The 22,000-nt window shown below is 43.0% G+C and overlaps 1 long non-coding RNA gene across 1 annotated transcript in view; it reads right to left on the bottom strand.

The window, feature by feature from the left end:
- Positions 1 to 10,739: 10,739 nt before the first annotated feature.
- The window catches only part of DSCR4 (Down syndrome critical region 4), a 67,350-nt gene continuing 56,089 nt past the window's right edge, over positions 10,740 to 22,000 (bottom strand). The window contains exon 3 of the long non-coding RNA NR_147130.1: positions 10,740 to 11,502. This is a non-coding gene — a long non-coding RNA (Down syndrome critical region 4). The remainder of the gene's footprint in view (positions 11,503 to 22,000) is intronic.

Below are 22,000 nucleotides of genomic sequence, written 5' to 3' on the forward strand. Positions count from 1 at the left end.
TCTTTTCAGGGAAATGGAAAACAACAAACCAAAAACTCTTGCTGAGTGGAGGGCTCTGATACATTGCCTGATCCCCAGGCAAAAGAGAGCATTGTCAGAGGCTGACGGGTGACAGTCAGGCAGTACTGAGAGGAAGAAGCAGAACATGCAAATGAGAACAATATGCTCTTAGCAAGGGTCAGGGAAGGTGCCACCCATGTCACGGGCCTCCAAGATCTTTGAGTCAAGGGTGGAAGATCCCACTTATTCAATGCCAAGCTCACCCATAGGTACTTCCATTTTCTCTTAGCTTTCCAGGGTCACAGCCTTTGTTATCATCTCTGTACATGGCCTCTTAAAATGTGTCTATGGCTTAAAATGTGCCTCGGCCTTCCGGGTCCTGAGCACTGACACCACGCCTCCTCATGGGGTCCATATCCCCAGGCTTGGACGGATTCTCTTTCTCAGACATTCCAACACAAAAGTCCCCTTTAGCTCCATTTCCCTGTGATAAGCTTTGGCTGCTTCCAAGGCTCAGCACAACTCCTTTTGAGAAGGCAGGGAGTCGCCTCTGCACCTGAGTGTTGAAGGTGACTTTCCCGAGTGTCTTCAAAAGGGCATTTTTCTACTTAAGCTTCTGGAAGTGTGCTTCCTAGAGCTGGGTTGCAATATCTCTGTTCTCAAGATGTATGATGAGGTCAGTAGAACGATCTATGATCCCATGAGCCAAACATGTTTCTGCCTTTACTGCATTAGGGACATGCTGGTACTGTATTAGTCTGTTCTCATGCTGCAAATAAAGACATACCTAAAACTGGGTAATTTGTAAAGGAAAGAGGTTTAATGGGCTCGCAGTTCCACATGGCTGGGAAGGACTCACAATCATGGTGGAAGATGAAGGAAGAGCAAAGGGAATTCTTACATGGTGGCAGGCCAGAGAGTGTGTGCAGGGGAACTCCCACTTATATAACCATCAGATCTTGTGAGACTTATTCACCACCACAAGAACAGGATGGGGGAAACCACCCACATGATTCAATTATCTCCACCTAGACCTGCCCTTGCCACATGAAGATTATTACAATTCAAGGTGAGATTTGGGTGGGGACACAGCCAAAACACGTCAGATACCAATAGTGACAATCACCACAAAATCCTCACTTATTCCAATAAAAGGTGAGGCTCATCCTATGGCATTTCAACGTGTTGATCTAACAACTGCCTACCCTGAGTTATCAGTGGGCTGCCTACTCTAGCCTCTCATTACGTTATGTGTCCTGACTTGTGGTCTTAGTTTATGTATCTTACCTACTGACTCCTTTAATTTCTGACAACCCTAAATATTTTTATACTGGTCTTTCCCAGTTGCTGTGCCTCAGCTGAGATAGGATGCTACCTACTACCCTCCTGAACAGCATCTTTCCTCTTTCTACTGGCTGTGTCTGCCTTCTCTAACTTGACTTGGTATTAGTGAAACATGACTGACAAACCCATAGTAAAGGAAGGGAGAGGAAGAAATGACTCCTTCTGGGTTATCTCACACACTTATCTGAAAAAAAAATCAGGGCTCATGGTTCCTGCACAAAAGTTTACTAACTCTATGACCTTGGGAAAGTTATTTCATGTATCTGAAAATCAAGATTCTCCATCTATAATTGTGGATAATATCTATCCTATCCCCATGTGGTTGGTCTAAGAGTTAGAGTGAATTCACAATGAAATACAAAGGATTCTGGAAATGTAAGATAATGTCACTACTCTATTATTGAAAAGGTCCTGGTGCTGACTTTAGTTCCTTTATTTTAAAATTGGGTTACTACGTCATTTACATACTGCTTGTGTTTATTATTTAAAAGTGTCCCCTCCTTTTTCTGTGTCTACTAAAATCACAGTCATGAACTGACCTTCTAGTTACATTTTGTTGTCATTGTTCTGTTGTTACAGAGGAAAGGTGTATCATTAACTTGCCTTCTAGATATGAACCAAGCATGCAACTGTTTGCCTGGCACTGTATTCACCATTTCTCAGTATTCTTCTACTCTGCCTGTCTGTGGAATTAAAGGCCCTTCCAGGGGGCACACTGGGATGGTGGAGCTCTGCAGATTTCAGGGTTGTGGGAGAGGTTAGAGAGCTGCTGGGATAAGTATTCATGAACAAACCAGGTTTTTGCAGAAACAAACTCTTCATACTGAAAATAAATGCCACTAGGTACGGAACCTCACATTTTAATGGCACACCAATATTGGTCTTGTATATGCATATCAAATAAAAATGACTGAGTAGGTATTTCCATGTAGTGGAATACTACTGATACTCAATACTCAGAGAAGTGCATTTGCATAGACTTTGGGATGTCTAATTTACACAAAGAAGAGGGTAAGTGTGAGTTTAATGTTTATAAGATAATGTTGAGCATTTACTTTTAGCACTTCTAATGAGCTAAACAAATCTCTTCATTCAACAACTCCATTTGAAAGATAAAAAACAGCATTTACCTTGTACAAAAGTCTTGGAGCTCTGCCCTAAATGGCAAAAGTCAGGCAAGAGAATTGGTTGTAAGTTTTCTCCTAAACATTTAGGCTGGGCATTTGGCTCTTTGCTGGGCAGAGGAAGGGGCTGAACTCAGGATAAACTCAGGAAGGGAGGAGAAATTAAAGTAAACATCGAATTTGCTGTCATTGCTCACAAGAACTATTTTAAAAATCATGAAAAACTACTGACTTTGGACATGCATCGTGGCTGTAAAGATCAATGAATTTGGCCATAATGTTCAATGAGTATTTGACATGGTTTGGCTCTGTGTCCCCACCCAAATCTCACCTTGAATTGTAATAATCCCTATGTGTCAAGGGCAGGGCCAGGTGGAGATAATTGAATCATGGGGGTGGTTTCCTCCATATTGTTCTCATGGTAGTAAATAAGTCTCACAAGAACTGATGGTTTTATAAATGGGAGTTTCCCTGCACATGCTCTGTTGCCTGCCTCATGCAACATGTTCCTTTGTTCTTCCTTTGTCTTCCACCATGATTTTGAGGCCTCCTCAGCCATGTGGAACTGTGAGTCCATTAAACTTATTTCCTTTAAAAATTACCCATTTGGGGGACATGTCTTTCTTAGCAGCGTCGGAATGGACTAATACAGTATTTATAGAATTAATGGATGAGGTTAGGGCAAGAAGGGCGAGAATGCAGTAGGAGTATAAGAAGCATTGGTTTCCGAGATTCACTTGGGCCCAAGCTTATGCTCCCTTTTCCTGTCTGCTCAGAGAACACTGAAGAGCATGCTCTGCCACAAGAGGAGGTCTTTGAGGACTTCTTTGAAGTCCCAGAGGGGGTCCTGAGATCCAGGAATCGAGCATCAAGCGGCTCTCAGATTTGTTTATATGTTTTGGCCAATGCCATACATTGTATGGCCTTAATTTAGGGTAAAAAAAATGGCTGCTTTAGAAAAAATGTTTTGGGCATAGAAAAAAAGACCTTGATTTTTTAAAAGAGATTGTTTATTAATTATTAATCAAAGGCATTTTTTCAGGACATTAGGTCAGGTTCTATAAGAAGTGTGATGGCTTATTTTTTTTCTCTTAGTAAGGCTACATTCTACCTGAGAACTCAGGACCTGAGGACATGGTTATAGGAAGAAAAATCATAGATGAAAAATGGTTAACAATAGTCAGTACTTAGCATTGATTCCCACAATATCATTATGTATATTTCAATTCGATTACAGACAAAGCCATTAAAAATGAATTCTTTTAGTTCTTTAATTTATTCTTAAATTAGCTATACCATTTTTTCTTTGAAATATTTTATGTTCTTTTTCTTTTAAAAAACTTAAGACATTTTATTTTTAATTATTGTGGATACACAATAATTGTATACATTTATGGGGTGCATGTGATATTTTGATACAAGCATATAATGTGTAGTGGTCAAATTGGGGTAAGTGGATGATCCACCACCTGAGGCATTTATCATTTTTTGCATTAGGGATATTCCAATTCCACTCTTTGTTATTTTGAAATATATAAGAAATTATTAACTACAGTCACCCTATTGTGCTACCAAACACTATGTTTTATTCCTTCTATCTAACTGTATTTTTATACCCATTAACCATCTCCTGTTTTCTCTCTCTCTCTACTACTCTTCCAACATGATTCAAAAATCAAGAGGGACAAAAGGTACACAGTAAAGTGTCCCTTCTACCTGTGTCTCCCATCTACTCAACTCCTATCCTTGGCAGCAAACATGTTGTCAGTTTCTTATTTATCCTCCCAGAGGTATCTTATATCTATTTTAAAACACAATGAGAATATAAGAGAAGACAGCTCTTAGTCATAGCCATCCCGGACTTCTTCCCAACAGGTACAGATTGCGGAGTCTTATTTGTCTTATCCAGGGATCTTGGGGAAAGGGTGGCTAATATTTGAACCCTCTTAGGGGCAGATTCTAAGAAAGTACATCTTCCCCTTCTTCTGGGATTTCAGGTCAGAAAAACAGACACAGAAGCAGAGATAATGGTGACTCTGTAGTTGTGGGATCCATAGCTGGCACTGAAAAAATATATAGTATATCATTATAAAGCTTTTAATTTTTATAAATTCAAATGTATGTTAAATATATACATAGTATCAGTGTCCATAATATCACTATCTGTCCCTCCCAGAGGATCTCCAATGTTATTTATGGTCCTAATGTCGGAGGACAAATTATAGAACAGTAATGACTGAAACAGAGCCAGCCTGTCCTCAACTCTCCCCATGCCATTATGTATATTTCAATCCTATTACAGACAGAGCAAGCAAGTCCAGAACGAAAAGTAAGAATTGTGCCAATCAATCAGAATTAGTTTTACCTAAATGATATTATGAGATGCAAAAATATGGCTTTAGACACTGAAATTAGACACTGAAGCTGGTGTCCTCTGTGCAGAGAATGCTAATGCTGAGATTGTGGTCCCTAGTGGCAACACCAGCTGCCCCACTGCCGACCCGTGCCCTGACGCTCTTCTTGGAAATCAGCTTGTCAAATGTTGGGAGTGCTGCGATGCGTCTGCACGGATCCATTTAGAACTCCTTCTCATTCGCATTCATCACAGCTGGCATGAATTCACAAGTGATGGCAGCAAAATGTTTCTGCCAGTTTCTAATGCCTCTTAGAAATATGGGCGTTTTTAACAAGTGGTTGCCTGACTGCTAAGCAAACACACTGAGATAATTTCTCTGAAAAGAGAGCTCATTGTTAAACACGGACACTTCTGGCAGTATTCCTGCTAATCCATCCCTGTTCACTGTGTCACTGTGCCAGCATCATGTGGACATAAGAATGGATGCCATAGCTGTCCATTATTTCTGACATCATGGCAATATGTTGGGTGGAAAATAGTAGTTATTTCTTCAACACGTGAAGAATAATCATCAATAGTATTATTCCAGCAAGAGATTTAGGTGAGGTGGAAAAGGATTGGCCCACACTTCTCTGCCCTTCTCTCCATGGCATAAATAATGGTGTGTTCCAGGGAAATTGTTTGAATGCCGCAGGGTACTTCTGGAAACCTAAACTTCTGAAATAATGCTGCATAACTTCAGAGGTGGGTAAGAAAAGGCCATGCTGAGATTGACTTGCTAAAGAAGTTACACGTGGGTGTTCTGGCTAACAGCCCAGCTGACCTGGCTGCAGCCACATGTAAGAGCTACCTTGAGCATCCAGCTTAGTTGAACTTTCAGGCCCCACTGGCAACTGACTGTTTCCATACAAAAGACTCCAAACCAGAACTGCCTAGCTGAGTCTTTCCTGAGTTCCTGAACTACAAAATCACAGGAAAAATAAAATGGCCACCATTTTAATCCTCTGCATTTTGGAGTAACTTTTAAACTTGGCAATGATGATTGAACTGATGCTTTAAAAATTAAAATGTAAGTATTGTAGAAATAAAAACATTAGAAGAAAATCTAGGAGACTAAAAATACAATCTAGGAATTCAGGAGATTTTAAGTGAGTTAAAATATCCAGACTGGATTTATGTAGATATATACACGTATATGTATTTATTATATGTATATACACACATGTATGAAAACATATATGTGGCCAGGTGCGGCGGCTCACGCCTGTAATCCCAGCACTTTGGGAGCCCAAGGTGGGAAGATCACGAGGTCAGGAGTTCAAAACAGCCTGGCAAACATGGTGAAACCCTGTCTCTACTAAAAATACAAAAATTAGCTAGGCGTGGTGGCATGGGCCTGTAATCCCACCCACTTGGGAGGCTGAAGCAGGAGAATTACTTGAACCGGGAACCTGGGAGGTGGAGCTCGCAGTGAGCCGAGATCAGTGAGCCGAGATCACGCCGCTGGACTCCAGCCTGGGCTACAGAGTGAGACTCCGTCTCAAAAAACAAAACAAAACACAACAAAAAACCATACATACATATTTAACATATATTTGATATCATAAAAAATTAAAAACTTTATAATGATATCTATTATAATCAGATTAAAGGAGCTATGGATTTGGAAAAATATATACTCAAAAAAGCCTTAGATTAATAAGAAAATAATGAAATAGAAAATTGGGCAAATAATATGAATAAGAAGTTTACAGAAAATCCAACTCAAAGAAGCATCAAATATAAGGGTAAAAATACTCAAATTCACTAGCAGTTAAAATAATAAGACACAACTTTAGATTGCCCAACAATAGAAATGAAGAGCCCCTATATGGTTGAGAATGTGAAGTGGGTACACTTGACATAGCCAATGGAAATATGAGTTGGTCCATTCTCTTTGGATCAAGATCTGGTGAGATCTATTAAAATTAAAAACCATATGCTCTTTAATCACCAAGCCCAGTATTAGGAAACTATCCCAGAGACAAAAGCTCACTACGTAGGGACAGAAGTACACAGATAGTTAATGTAACTTTGTCTCAAGACATGAAGATCAAGTGAATGCCCATTAAGCAAGAAATGGCAGAATAAGCTATGGGTATAAGCACAATGTGAAATCGTATGCAGTTATAAACTATTAAAAAACCAGTAAGGGCAATGGCAGTTGACTTTCAGGAAACCAACTCCAAGTGTCATTGCTGAATGAGAAAAGCAAGGTTCGTGGGTGTGTGTACAATGTGATTGCATTCAAAGCAAAACAAAGACCATGAAACAACTGTGTACGTGTTTGTATATGATTAAATGAACATGGAGAAAAACACATAGGGAGATATGACGGGGTGGGAGAGGCAAGCAAAAAATGTAAAGTGTACACTGAAAATACTAAGCACATACAGTATGACTACCTTCATATAGAATTACGTATGTGTATGCAGATGCATAAGTGAGGAGATAAAATATAGATCTATATTCACTTACCAATTAAGAGTTTTTGATATATTCATTGAAAACCAGTTTGAGAAAGACAAACAAAAATCCTGAAAATGTGTATAAATACTTGTAAATGATTTATAGGAAAAGGAAAAACTGTGGCTGAAGAATGAGCTATTAACATTAGGCCCCCAGGATGGTGAAGCTGGAGAGCAGTCTGGGGAAGAAGATTCGCTTAAAAAAAAATCTTTGCATTGCTCTAGTTACTCCAACAATTATGCATTACTTCTGCTATTTGAAAAAGTAAATCCAATGCCAAGACTTTGAGTATTGCCAACTTTCCGTAGCTATTGGTGACATTGCCTGTTTTATAGCCTGCCTCTGGTGACAGTAAATTGAATTTTGATCAGGTAAAAACCAAATTTAAGCCTGCTCTGTGCACCTGTCAATTACTTGCTTGAAATGCTTTAAATCACTTTGCTTGAAATGCCCCCTGACTTCTGGGGTCCAGTTATACTTGTGGCCATTGGTAAAGGGTGACTTTCCATCCGCTTTTCCCTGGCTGAGATTGACCATGGCGTCAGTCCTCGTGTGGTCTCCCTGAGATTGGGAGGGTCCTTCCATGTCCCTCAGTCTTAGCCTGGGCTCTTTGTTCTGGCTGAAGTTGGCATTCGGGTCAGGCACCTTTCAGGCTGACATACATATTATATTAATCCATCCATCCTGCATGTGGATGGGGAGAATGCATAGCACCCTCATTGAAAATTTGCTTTATCTCCCTTTGCTGATTATGTTCTTATCCTTTTTGATCTTTTCTTCACCCTCCTCCTTTCTTTTGCACAGCAGGCAATGGGATGGTGACTCTTTATATCCTAATGCCAAAGACCCTAAGGTCAACCAGCTGCTGTCTACTAGCCTCCTTCAAGAGTCCTATTGCTAATGGTTAGTTTTTTATACCAACTTGGCCAGGCTATAGTATCCAGTTACTCACTCAAACACTAGTTTAGGTGTTATGATGACATTTTATAGATATGTATATAATCTATATACTATATATCTCTATATATAGTATATATATATACACTATACTATATATCTATATATACTATATACATCTATAGATTATATGTGATGTGGTTTATATATATGTATATATGATATACATATGTATGCATATATGATATACATATATATGCATGTATGATATACATATATATGCATGTATGATATACATATATATGCATGTATGATATACATATATATGCATGTATGATATACATATATATGCATGTATGATATACATATATGAGAGATGCCAATATCAGTTGACTTTACATAAGAAGACCACCCTTGATAATGTGGGTGGGCCTGATCTAATCAGTGGAAAGGCCTTAAGAGCAAAACCGAGGCTTCCCTGAGGAAGAAATGTCTGCCTGTGGACCACAGAGTGACTTCCTGCTGGAGAGTTTCTGACCTGCCCACCTGCCCTGCAGATTTCAGACTTGCCCAGCCTGACTTCACAATCGTGTAAGCCACTTCCTTGAAATAAGTTTCCATACATGTCCTACTGGGTCTCTTTCACTGCTAACATACTGACAAATACATTTCCCCTTCAACTCGATTGACCTGGAAATAGGACCTCTAAGTCATCTCTTTAGGAAAAAAAAATAGGAGGAATTGGGTGAGGTGGGTAAGAGGCCTCTCTAGTTCCTTCTTTCATCGGTGAGTCTGCTCTGTAAATTGGTTGGTAAGATTAATAATTTGTGACTTTGAAAATATTATCACTCAAAAAAAGACATTATTTAAGACTTTAATGAAACAGAAAGCTCCCCTAACCCTGGAAGAGCAAACAGGAACACAGGAAGCGTTCACAGCTGGCTCTCATGGAGGCCTGCTTTCCAGGTACCTCCCAGACTTAGGTCTGCATCTCCATCTCCTTCTCACCAAGCTGTGACATCTTCATCAGTTTATAAAGAATCACTTCACACCTGTAATCACAGCACTTTGGGAGGCCAAGGTGGGTGGATCATGAGATCAAGAGATCAAGACCATCCTGACCAACATGGTGAAACCCTGTCTCTACTAAAAAAACAAAAATTAGCTGGATGTGCTGGCGTGCACCTGTAATCCCAGCTACTCGGGAGGCTGAGGCAGGAGAATCGCTTGAACCTGGGAGGTGGAGGTTGTAGTGAGCCAAGATCACACCACTGCACTCCAGCCTGGTGACAGAGTGAGACTCTGTCTAAAAAAATAAAATAAAATAAAAAATCCATGCCTCTCCATGCAGGAACACAGCCTGCAGGACCAGTGCAGAGAGCCTTGGGGACCCCAAGTCAGAGCCCCTTTGAGATCTCATTGACAATGAGGGCTATAGATGTGCCTCCTTCTCCACAGCATGACCCGCAGAAACTGTCAGGTCACACCCCTGACCCTTAAGTGCACAATCATACCTCATCCCACCCCGACCCAAGACAGAAACACATTTTCAGAGGAAGGAAGGGGATGGTATTTTACTTGCCTCTGTATAGGCTCTTTCACCACACATACCCACACCCCCCACCCCCACACACACACGTAAACACATGCATTCACACACATGAGTACACAGGCACAGATGCAAACAATGCACAAATGTGCAAACTCACACACACACACACACACACACACACACACACTGCTATTGCACATGACATTGTGAGGTGTTGGCCTTTTCACTGATGCTCTGCTGCTCTCACGTTCACAGTGTGTCCTCGGATCTGCTGGAAATCAGAGCCAGTCCAATAGCTGCAGAAAGGTCCAATCATTTCCTTGTAATTACTGCTTGTAAGGGTGAGTTAAGCATTCAGACAATGGTCATCTCCTGCAAGTCTCTCTCTAGTTACAGAAGGCAGATCTTCCTCCTGTTCAGTTCCATCAACTTAAATTGTAAAAGACTTGCTTTCCAGAGGGAATGTCATGCCCCAGTACTTGTTACCTCTAGCTCCTGCAGAGGCCAGTTCAGCTCATTCTTTTTCTCTTTGATCCCTGACCTTGTGAGACGGTCTCCCACACTCCAAGGGGGAAGAGTTACTCCTAGCCTCCTGGATTCTTCTCCATCACATTTGCCCTCCCCCAGGCCATGGAGCTGGAGCTGCAGCTGCCCAGCCTGGAGACCCACGGAGGAGGCTGGGATGCAGGGTGAACTGTAGCCGAGGGCCACCTCTGCCTCTCTCCTAGCCCACACAGAACCTCGCTCTCCTTCCAGACAAAGCGGCCACAGATGGAGAAGTAGGTGGGGAGGGCTCATCTTTCCCCCCACTTCTCTCTCTGTATCCATGCTTGGTTCAAATGAACCAGAGGAATGGTAATAAAGGCCTGCTCTGGATGCCAGCAGTGGGAGTGGAAAGTTGAGAATAGATGCTAGAAACTCTATGATGTAATCTTTTTACATTAAAAATTTTACGTAGTAATGCCAAGAACTTTATATCTTTAATAGTGTAGAAAATTGATGACACCCATTTCCTTGAGAAGAGGGTCACCCTCTGGATACAAACTAATACCACACAGAGTTTCTGGATTTCATTCTCCTCAAAATCTCTCTGCCCCAGTCCACAGTGGGTGCGAGTTTCTTGCCTCTCTCTCAGCTGCCACTCTTCTGCTGAGGCAGAGAAGTTTTCTCATCCTCTGGGTCTCCACTATAACCCCAACTTGCATGCCCCAAAGACACGCACACCCTTCCCAAAAACCCAGCAGTTCTCTGTGAGTCTGGTAGAAAGTCCCCATTATTTGTGGACCTACTCAGCCTTGGTGAGTGGCTGGTCCCAACAGGATCCACAAGAAACTTGCATGACCGCAAGGCCTGGGCACAAGACAAACCCTTCCACTGCCATGCTGCCATTATGGCTGTTGTTTTTCCATATGGTCTCACATGGCCTCTCAGCAGGGGACGACACTGATGGGATTTTTATGGGTCTGTAAATAAAGCTCTTTCTTTCCCACTGGAGTTGTAAACTGAGAAGTAGACACAAGAATCAGACAGATGGAGATCAAAACGTCAGCTTTGCTGCTGATCAGAAGGAGGTGGCTGGATGTGGTTTATGCCTTCAGGTTGATGGGCTTGCGCTTATCTGCTTGTCCCTTCTCCCATCTGATTTCTTGTGGAGCCCATGGAGGTAAAGTTGGTATTTCCAAATCAGACATTTTGCCCAAAATTGCTGCCCCTCTCTGGTTCTGAGTGGAAAGGGAAGAAAAGAAATCAAATCTCAGTTACTTATAGTTTTCCAGTAGATCAGCCTCACCAATCATGGGCCATGAGCCAATATAATCTCCCACAGACTGAGACCTCCATCCCCCATGGTGAGGGGCTAGTGAGACTGGAATACGAAGAGAGTTGCTCAAGTGGCATTCCCTCCTCATGTAATTATGAGGCACAGGGAAGAAGAGGGCCCTGCCTTTTTGCTCCCTGAATGCTTAACCTTTAGATTGAAGTGTTAAGTCCCTGGTTGGCCAGGGAGGCACCATCTTGCTCTTGCGGCTGCTCACTTGGCAAAAGCTGCCCCTGCCTTCAGCCACCCACTCCCCAATATCAGCCACTGTGTCTTGAGTGTCTTCCGGGGACTACTGCCAGGGAGTATGTATTTTGTTCTCAGAAGCTGTCACTTGGGTCAGAATAGTAAAATATTCAAATTAAGTTTGAGCCACACTGAAGTCAAAGTTGGAAATTTATTTTTTCTTTCTTTCTTTGCATTCTTTTCCAACAATATTGCCCAATGTAGCTTATCTGAGATTCTGCAATGTGATTAAATGTCAACATTAATATGATCTGGGAATAAAATGCCAACAACCCAAAGTTGAATCTAAACCTCTTCTTTTATTAAATTCTCTTTTAATAGGTTAGGCTAGGTTGGCTGGCTGTATTCTGGACCCTGGGGCTCTCAAATAGCAGCAAACAATTCCCAGATCTCATGGCTTAACACTAGGAAGGTTTGTTTCCATGGACTTCACTGGCCAGCCTGGGCTCTGCCCTGTGCCTCCCTGGTCTTCACTCTGGTGCCCAGCTGAGAGCACAGCAGCCATGTGGAATGCTGCTGGCCGTGTGCCAGAGGGAAACTGAGCTTAGCTAGGCACACACTGGTGCCTACAGCTTTTCCTGGAAGGGACCATGTCCCTACTGGTCACATTTCATGGGCCAAAGAAAGTTACATTGCACCACCTGAGTTCAAGAGGGCACACAAGTCCAATCCTCCCTTGTGCCTGGAGGCTGAGAGCTGAAGTAGCTTGCACCACTCTAAGGACCAGCAGAGATTCTCAGAAAGAAATTAAAAGAGGCAACTAATAAATATGCTTGGAAGTTAAAGTTCAAATAATTCTGTGTCTTCAGTAAAGTCTAAAATTAAATATTCTTGCTCTTGTGAAGTCAAATCCAAAGTCTATAATTCCCAGTCTTATATTAATGTCCAATGAAATTAAGGCCTTCCTCCATTTCTTTCTCTGTTTATTGGATCTCTGTTCTCTGGATCTGTTTCTCTGTTCTCTGGATCTCTTCAACAATCAGATGTGAACTGGGCTACCCTTCAACATGATGTGCTTAATGCCTTCAGGACTTCAGAGGATGCATTAGGTTAGGTCAATCTCTCATTTCCCACTTGAAAGAGAAGAAAATGATCTTTGCACCGCCAAGATTCTCACAGCACTGACATTCCATCACCAGCTAACTTCATTGTCTAGAGGAACTACCTAATCCAAACATGCTCTCGGGACATCACACTCGGTAAAATCTTGGCCCGTGTTACTGATGCCAAATACGCCATGGAAACTCCATGGGATCTGAGTGTAGGTTGATGTACAGAGAAGAAATCATCCTTGTTTTTATCTCTGCAGGATACCTTTGGTTGCAGAGCACTGTGACTGGGGCAGTTAACTCCATTGCAAGAACTGTCCCTTCACCAAACCAATAATGGCCCTACTTAACCTGTACATATTGTCTCCTTCCCCAGAGAGGTATTTGTTGAGAAATATTTGAGACATTGCTATCTTCTTTCAAAGTATAGAAATATACAGAGGTGGCACACTTTCTTTTGCACCTTGGGTGTCATTTCCCCTCTAGCCCAGTGTGTGGAGTCCCCTCAGGCTGCTCTGAGAGTTGGTCCTCTATAGTGTCATGGCTGCCACTGAATCTTACAGGCATGTGTGCAGTGCTGTGACAGAGTGAACTGTTTCTATTGCCTCTTGTTTTGAAATTGCTAAGACCCGGGAAGCCTGGTTCCAGGGGACAATTTCCCTCTAGTCCTCATGTTGGTTTTCAATCAAGAACCATCCTTAGAACATTTCCAAACCAAAGCTGCTGTTATTGCTTCGAGAGTCTTTGCTCCCGGAGCACCACTCCTCACCTTTGGCTGCAGCTTGGAATCCCTTGGGGGACTTTAAGAATCCTGAGGGCCATACTGTACCCAACCAATTGAGTCTTTGGGGGTGTGTGATGACTAATTGTATGTGTCAACTTGGCTAGGCCATGGTGCCCAGATTTTTGGCCAAAAGCCAGTCTAGATGTTGCTGTGAAATAATGTTTTAGGTGAAATTAACATTTCAGTGAATGTTGAGTAAAACATATTACCCTCCATAATGTGGGTGGACCTCATGCAATCAGTTGAAGTCTTTATGAGAAAAGGCTGAGATTCCCCCAAATAAGAGGGAATTCTGCCTCCATACAAGCTTCAGCTTGAGCCGCAGCATCAACTCTGCCCTGAACCTCCAGCCTGTCAGCCTACCCTGCAGATTTCAAACTTGCCAGCCTCCAGTCTTGTGAGCCAATTCCTTAAAATAAATAAATCTCTCTGTCTCTATCTCCATCACTATCTCTCTATCCCTTTATCTCTATCTCTGTCTCTGTTTATCTCTATTTCTATTTCTATCTGTCTCTATCCCCATTCCTATATCTATCTTTATCTCTCTCTATCCCTATCTCCATCTCGATCTTTGTCTCTGTCTCTACCTCTATCTCTATCTACTTCTGTCTCTATCTCTATCCCTAGCTACCTCTATCTCTATTTTTATCTCTATCTCTCTTGTCCTATTTCCATCTCTATCTCTTTCTGTTCTATCTCTCTCTGTCTCTATCTCTATCCCTATCTCCCTCTATCTCTATCCCTTCTCTCTCTCTATCCCTATCCCTGTCTCTCTCTATCCCTATCTGTATCTGTGTCTGCATCTCTATCCCTGTATCTATTCCTGTCTATCTCTATCTCGATCTCTATTCCTGTCTCTCTATCTCTATCCCCATCTCTATCTCTGTCTCTATCCCTATCTTTCTCTATCTCAATCTCTATCACTATCCCTATCTGTCTCTATCCCTGTCTCTACCTACCTCTATCTCTATGTCTATCTCTTCTATCTCTATGTCTATAACTAGCTCTATCCTTATCTCTTTCTCTATGTATCTCTACCTCTGTCTTCATCTCTATCCCTATCTCCATCTCCATCTCTTTCTTTATCCCTATCTCTCTGTCTCTATCTCCTCTATCTCATCTCTGTCCACTTCCTGTTGGTTCTGTTTCTTGGAGAACCCTGGTGAATACAGGTGGTGCTGATCTTCCAGGCACTGGTAGTGTTTAGAGCTTTCCTGGTGACTACAATGTGCAGCAGGGTGGACAGCCCCTTCCTGAGGGATCTAAAAAGGACCATCCCCCTTTTTCTCTGCTTCATCTTTTGTTATTTGTTTGTTTGACAATTGTAGGGGTTCTCTCCATGGATCGCGACCCTCTCCTGCCCCTGCTATTTCCAGAAAGTGCAGTGGCATTTCTGACAGTAGAACCTCATCTTAAGATCATTCCCCTTCTGTATCAAATGACTTGCTCTTCCATGCCTTGCTCCACAAACTAGCAGCATCAGTCTTACCTAGAGCATGACAGACAAGCCTAGATATTGCACCTACTGAGGGATGATGTCCTGAAGTACTGCATCCACAGCTCCACTGTTCTCTCAGGGTCCATCTGCAGCTCATCCTCCCTTTCACATCTGCCCAATCTCATCTCCCTTCCTGCATGCCCTGCCTCCCCTTTGAAACATCAGCTTTCCTTCCACTGAAATCACTCTCCTTCCCTCCAGTTTAATTAGCCTGACTGCCTAAAAAAAACAAACAGGCCAGCTGCAGTAGCTCACTCTCATAAGGCGAGGCAGGAAGATCACTTGAGGCTAGGAGTTCAAGACCAGCCTGGGCAGCATAGCAAGACCCTGTCTCTACAAAAACTAAAAAATTAAAAAATTAGCTTGGCATGGTGGTGCATGCCTGTTGTCCCAGCTACTCAGGAGGCTGAGGTGGGAGGATCACTTGAGCCCAGGAGATTGAGGCTGCAATGAGTGACCCATGATCCTGTCACTGCACTCCAGGAGCAACAGGGCAAGACCCTGTCTCAAAAAAATTATAAAAATAAACAACTCTTCTACAGCTCCTTTTCTTCTAGTAAAGTGAAGTACACTTTCATAGCCTTCTAGCTCCTCCTTGATTCTTCTAGCAAATATGGCATCTATAAAGTAATCCAGATGCAAGACTTGTCAGTGCACTTCTAACCTTTGGGTTCACAAACACTGAATTAAGTTGTTTTTTTGCCACTCCACTAAAAAAAGACATTAAAAAAGTGCTGCCATTCCTTCATTTAATTTTCATGGAAGATTCACTGAAATGATCTAATTTCTTTGTCTGTATTTTGACTATAAAGCTAATACATGGCTTTATTCTTCTTTATTTGTTGATGATTCAAATCTACTATACTTCTACAATTAAAACTGGTCTGGAACTCTAAAATCGAAATTCAGGATTACAGTTTATGCAGCTAAAAATTGCAAAGCCAACTTGAGATCACACGGTGGTGGTGATTGGGGTAATGGTGGAGTGATGTGGTGATCATAGCAGTAGTGGGATGGTGGTAGAGATGGTATGATGGCAGTATGGTGGTGGCAGGAAGATGCTCATGGAGGTGACAGTAACCATGATGGTGGAAATGGAGCAGGAGGTAAAAGTTGTGATGGAGGTAGGGGTGGGGGCTGTGATGGTAATGGTAATAGTGATGGTGATGGTGGTGGTGATGGTTGGTGGTGGTGATGGTGGTGATATTGGTGATGGTGTTGCCTGTGATGCTGTGGTAGTGATGATCATGGTGGTGGTGGTGGTGGTGCTAATGGTGATGGTGGTGATGGAGGTAATGGGAGTGGCAGCATTGGAGGTGTTGAGGAGGCTGGTGGTGGGAGGGGAATGGTTGTGACACAGCCTCTGGACAAGGCACATAGTAAGGAGGGATTCATCCCTCAAATTCCTCTCAATGCCTGCATACACCTACTGGAATTTGGGACAGTGAAGCAGGGAGTGTGGGACAGATGCTGCTCTGTTGGCCTGGTCCTACCGATTCAAAACAGAATATGAACTCACCATTGCCTCCTGAACCACACAGAGCCCACTGACTATTATTTAGGGGCCTTGCCTAGAGGCCCCACTGAGGTAATCCAGAAAGGGGCAAGTATGTTTTCATCACAAATGCCAAGACAGCACCAGGCTGGCTGCTCTCCTGGAGTCCAGGATCAAGCTGCAGTGGCTCCCACGGCAGCAGGCATGTGCTGCAAGCCAGATTGGAAGCAGTTTTGCTAAGGTTCTTCCTTATTAAAACAAGCTCTGTTCTGCACTAGCTGCTGGCTGTGAGTTCAGAGGGCATGGGTTTATGGTGGTGCCAGTAGTGCCTATTTGCAGCGGTTCCAAGCAGCCATTTGACCAGACTCCCCCAGCAACCTTTTCAATCTCACCAATTCTTGTTTTTCTTGGGGTTCTCAGCTCATGTACTAAAGGCGTATGGCAAATGCCCTCTATACATACATTCCATACATGAAATGTGGGAGTTTTAGGGGGAATTTAAGCAACACCCCTCTGATGTCATTTCTGAGGTATTTGAATGGAGAGAGCAGGGCACGCAGGGATGAAAATACGAGTTTATCCCTGATAAGTGCTGGCTTGGAGGACACAACTTAGGTGGGCAGTCAGATGGGCTGGGTGCTTCCTTCTCCCCCAACTCTCCTCTCCCCAGCTGTCTAGCCCTTGGCACACTTACTCCAGGCTTGTGTCTCCCTAACAGATTCACTTACCCTGGTTGCTGGCATGCCTGGCCATTGGAAGAAAGGGAAATTTCTTCCTTTTTTTTTTTACATTCTTTCCCTCAACAAACTTTATTGAGCACCTAGTAACTGCCAAGCCTGGACAAGACAGAAAATAATTTTGTTTTTCTGATACTTATGTTTCAGCGGAGACACAAGTACTCTTTGTTTGATTGCCTTTTGCTGAATGTGCCCAGTTGAAACTCACTTTTTAACCTGTGAGGAGAGTGATAAAAGGACATACTCTTTGGGAGGCTGAGGTGGGTGGATCACGAGGTCAGGAGTTCGAGACCAGCCTGGTCAACATAGTGAAACCCTGTCTCTACTAAAAACACAAAAATTACTGGGCTTGCTGGCAGTCGCCTGTAGTCCCAACTACTCGGGAGGCTGAGGCAGGAGAATCCCTTGAACCTGGGAGGTGGAGGTTGCAGTGAGCCGAGATCGCGTCATTGCACTCCAGCCTGGGCAACAAGAGCAAAACTCCACCTCAAAAAAATAAATAAATAAAAATAAAAAAAGACAGGCTCCTGGAGCTTCCTTCTCAGGGGAAGGAGGAGCATCCACTTCCCCCTAGTCATTCAGAGAGGTCAAATGCAGTCCTCTTTGGGAAGTGACTGGATGTGCAGAGAAAGTCAGAGGGAGGTCTCGCCGCCTCTCAGGCTGCTTCGAAGGATCTCAGTCTGTGGACCAATGGGCTTTTCTGCATTCGGCTGCCATGGCTTGTGGCACATTCAGCAGGATTGGTTTCTGACCTCCCATCAGGCTGGGAGCACCCCACCGTGTATGTAGCTCAATACCGAGAGATTTGTAAAGGTTTTTATTGAATGACTCTAAGGTTCTAAGCCTGGGTAACTTGGGTTATAACAGCATTCATAAATGGAAATAGAGATATTCGAAAGACACTTTTTTTTTTGAGGGAGAAACTGCTGAGCGCAGGTTTAGACTTCGTGAGATGTTTAGAGGACAGCATATTATTTTTTGCATGGCTGGATTTAATGGTTGTTTTGCATCCCTTTGCAGGGTTGAGATAGCAGAGGACTCTCAGAAACCCTCACACCCAGCATTAAGAGGCACACACTAGATCAGTTTGCAGATACAAATCTTTGTGGCTCTATACTTTCTTTAAAATCAATTCCCAGTATTTTAAATTCCTCATTATTCCTCTATCATGTGTTAGACAAATATGATATCCACAGATCTACAAATGGCTATAACTATGCTGTCACTGCAGGGATGTCTTGCTCTCTGAACTGTCGTCAGGAAGCTTATAAATAAATACGGGACACATGAAGCTAATTTGATACCAACAGCAATAATATAAACTCTGACTAAGGGAAAATTGGAAAGTGTTGCTGATCTAACAGCACAAAGAGGCATTAGGAACGTGCGTCTGCATGTACCTCACTCCCAGGCTTGGGCTCTTTCCCATAACATTTGGAGGCTGTGATTTCACCTACCAAATACCTATTTACATGCTTAGCCTTTGGATCATATAATTCACATCTCTGAGAAAATGATGTATTGTTACCTAAATGTATCACTGCTAAATGAGATCAACTGAAGAGTATGTTATTATTGGCTTCAAACTATGAGTTGGAAATGTCCACACACTTGCACCTTGCTTTGGTGCTATTATTTGTTTTTGATTTTGTTTTGTTTTATGTTTTTGATGGGAGAGTGCGGGGCGTGATGATCATGGCTCACTGTAGCCTCCACCTCCTGGGCTCAAGCCATCCTCCTGTCTCAGCACTCTTAGGACTGACTACAAGTGCACACCACTGCACCCAGCAACTGTTTTTTTGGTAGTTACAGGGTCTAGCTATGTTGCCCAGCCTGGTCTCAAACTCTTAGACTCAAGCAATCCTCCCACCTGAGCCTCCTGGGTAGCTGGGACTACAGGCACTCACCACCACGCTCGATTAATTTTTATATTATTTGTAGAGATGGGGTTTCACCATATTGCCTAGGCTGGTCTCAAATTCCTAGGCTCAAGCGGTCTGAATGCTTCAGCCTCCCAAAGTGCTGGGATTACAGGACTGAGACTTCATGACTGTCCAGCGCTGTTATTTAAAATACAAACTGAGTTCTCTACAAGGTGGAAGTTTTAATAAGTGATGCACCTTGTCAGAGTAAAAGCTTTCAGTGGGGGAAAATGTGCTTTAATTTAGTTCATCTAAATTTCTCCACACTCTCAGCACAGCGATTATCTTGCCTTCTATATCACCCTGACACATACTATTAACCTATCAAACAGCAGAAGGCTGAGCACCACCAGGCTCCAATCTATACAGATAGTTGGGCCAATTCAGGTCAAAATTTTATTGGTTTTGGCCTAAAAGCTGCTGGAAAAACTTGTAAAATGAAGAGAAGTTACAATGTGATTTTAAAGCGGATTTCAAAGATGAGAACAGGATAATATCAGTTTCTGGCTGCAAAGTTTTCTTCTGTTAAAAACCTATAAGTTAAATAGGCACACAAATATATTTCTATGCTCTTTAAACTACTGGGTATAAAGTGATCACAATTTTAAGTTGCATAAAAGGACTGCAAATATTAAAACACTTGACTACAATAAGGTTCCTTTTGGGCCTTAGGTAAGTAATGTTTTCTGGTGTTGTTCCAGAAAGCATAATAAATAAAATAAAATTATCCTTTGATCATACCAAGGGGTTTGTGACAGTGTGTATTAGCCTGTTTTCACACTGCTATAAAGAACTACCTGAGACTGGGTAATTTATAAAGAAAAGAGGTTTAATTGACTCATAGTTCTGCATGGCCAGGGAGGCCTCAGGAAACTTACAATCATGGCAGAAGGTGAAGGGGAGGCAAGGCACGTCTTACATGGTGTCAGGAGAGAGAGCAAGGTGGGGGAACTGTCACACACTTTTAAACCATCAGATCTCCTGGGAACTCATTCACTATCATGAGAACGGCATGGGGGTAACCATCCCTATGACCCAGTCACCTCCCACCAGGTCCCTCCCCGACACATGGGGATTACAATTCAACATGAGATTTGGGTGGGGACACAGAGCCAAACCATATCACAGTGATACCACAATAAGATATCCATAAGTGTCAGTTTCTTAAGGCAATTTTCCAAAGTACCCCACATCGGATAGTTGAAATATCTGAGATGTATTGTCCCACAGCTCGGAAGGCTGGAAGTCCTAGATGAAGGTGTTGGCAGGGTTGGTTCCTTTTGAGGCTGTGAGTGGGGATCTGCTCCAGGGTCCCCTCCAGCTTCTGGGGGTTCCTTGGCTTGTAGCAACATCACTCCAATCTCTGCCTTGTCATCACATGGCCTCTTCCCTGTATGTTCGTCTGGGCCCAAATGTCCCATTTTCATAAGGACACCAGTCACACTGGATTAAGGGCCTATCCTATCTCTGCCTTGTCATCACATGGCCTCTTCCCTGTATGTTCGTCTGGGCCCAAATGTCCCATTTTCATAAGGACACCAGTCACACTGGATTAAGGGCCTATCCTACCTCTGCCTTGTCATCACATGGCCTCTTCCCTGTATGTTCGTCTGGGCCCAAATGTCCCATTTTCATAAGGACACCAGTCACACTGGATTAAGGGCCTATCCTACTCCAGTAGAACCTCATCTTACCTAAGTTACATCTTCAGTGACCCTCTTTTCAAATAAGGTTATTTTCTGGGCATTGGGACTTTAACAAATGAATTTTGGGGGAATCTGATATAACCGATCCTACCCCCCACAGTGATGCTTGGGCACCTCAGGGAGCACCCCCCTCTCAGCCCTGCATCCCAGTCCCTCATCCCACCTCCTGCTCCTGGCTTTGTTGTGCCTTGTTCCATCTCACGGCCTCACCCGCACACCGCCATTTTGGTTGGGCTGTCTGCTTTGTCCCTGAACGCTACCTTCTAATCTTCCCTTGACTCCTCTCCTGCTCAGAGCCCAGGCTGCCTAAATCCCAGACCAGGGATCGGACTCTGAGGAGCCCCCATTTATTCAGTAAGGGAGTGTCTCTGTCCCCTTAATAAACTGTTATCCTGCTTCTTGACTCATGGAGGAACAGCAAGTCCTGAAGAAAGATGCAGGAACAAGGGACCCAGAAACCCAGCCAGGTGGGCTTACGGCATCTGGGAAACTGTGTTTTGGAACAAGATTTGGGGCCTATTTGTGAGCACATTGTCCTAAAGGCATTTTTGAGCCCAGGATAGGTAAGGAAATGGAATTCTCTGCTGAGATCACTATTAATATCTTACACCACCTAGAAAAAAATGGTGTCTAAAATATCCAACCTGTCAGACAAGGAGCTTTGATTGAAGATGCAATCACACAGCCAAGCCAATGCCAGCTGACAAAAGGAGTTTCTGGGGTGGGAAATGGGTGGGATGTGTCCAGGGATTTAAAACCCAATCCTTGCAGGTTTAAACGAAGTATGATTTTTGACAGGAGGTTCTCAGTGGAGTCTTGTATTTTTCTACAATTTTTGATTAGGGCCTCATGGACTGGAATCTACCTATTCTCTGTCTGGAGTCATAGGGTGCTAGTGGGTAAGTGTGATGTTTTCATAGGTAGCAGTTCTATAAGGTCTCCTGTACAGTCATCTGTGGTATTTTC

Source organism: Homo sapiens, chromosome 21, assembly GCF_000001405.40.
Source record: "Homo sapiens chromosome 21, GRCh38.p14 Primary Assembly".
Classification (NCBI taxonomy): domain Eukaryota; kingdom Metazoa; phylum Chordata; class Mammalia; order Primates; family Hominidae; genus Homo; species Homo sapiens.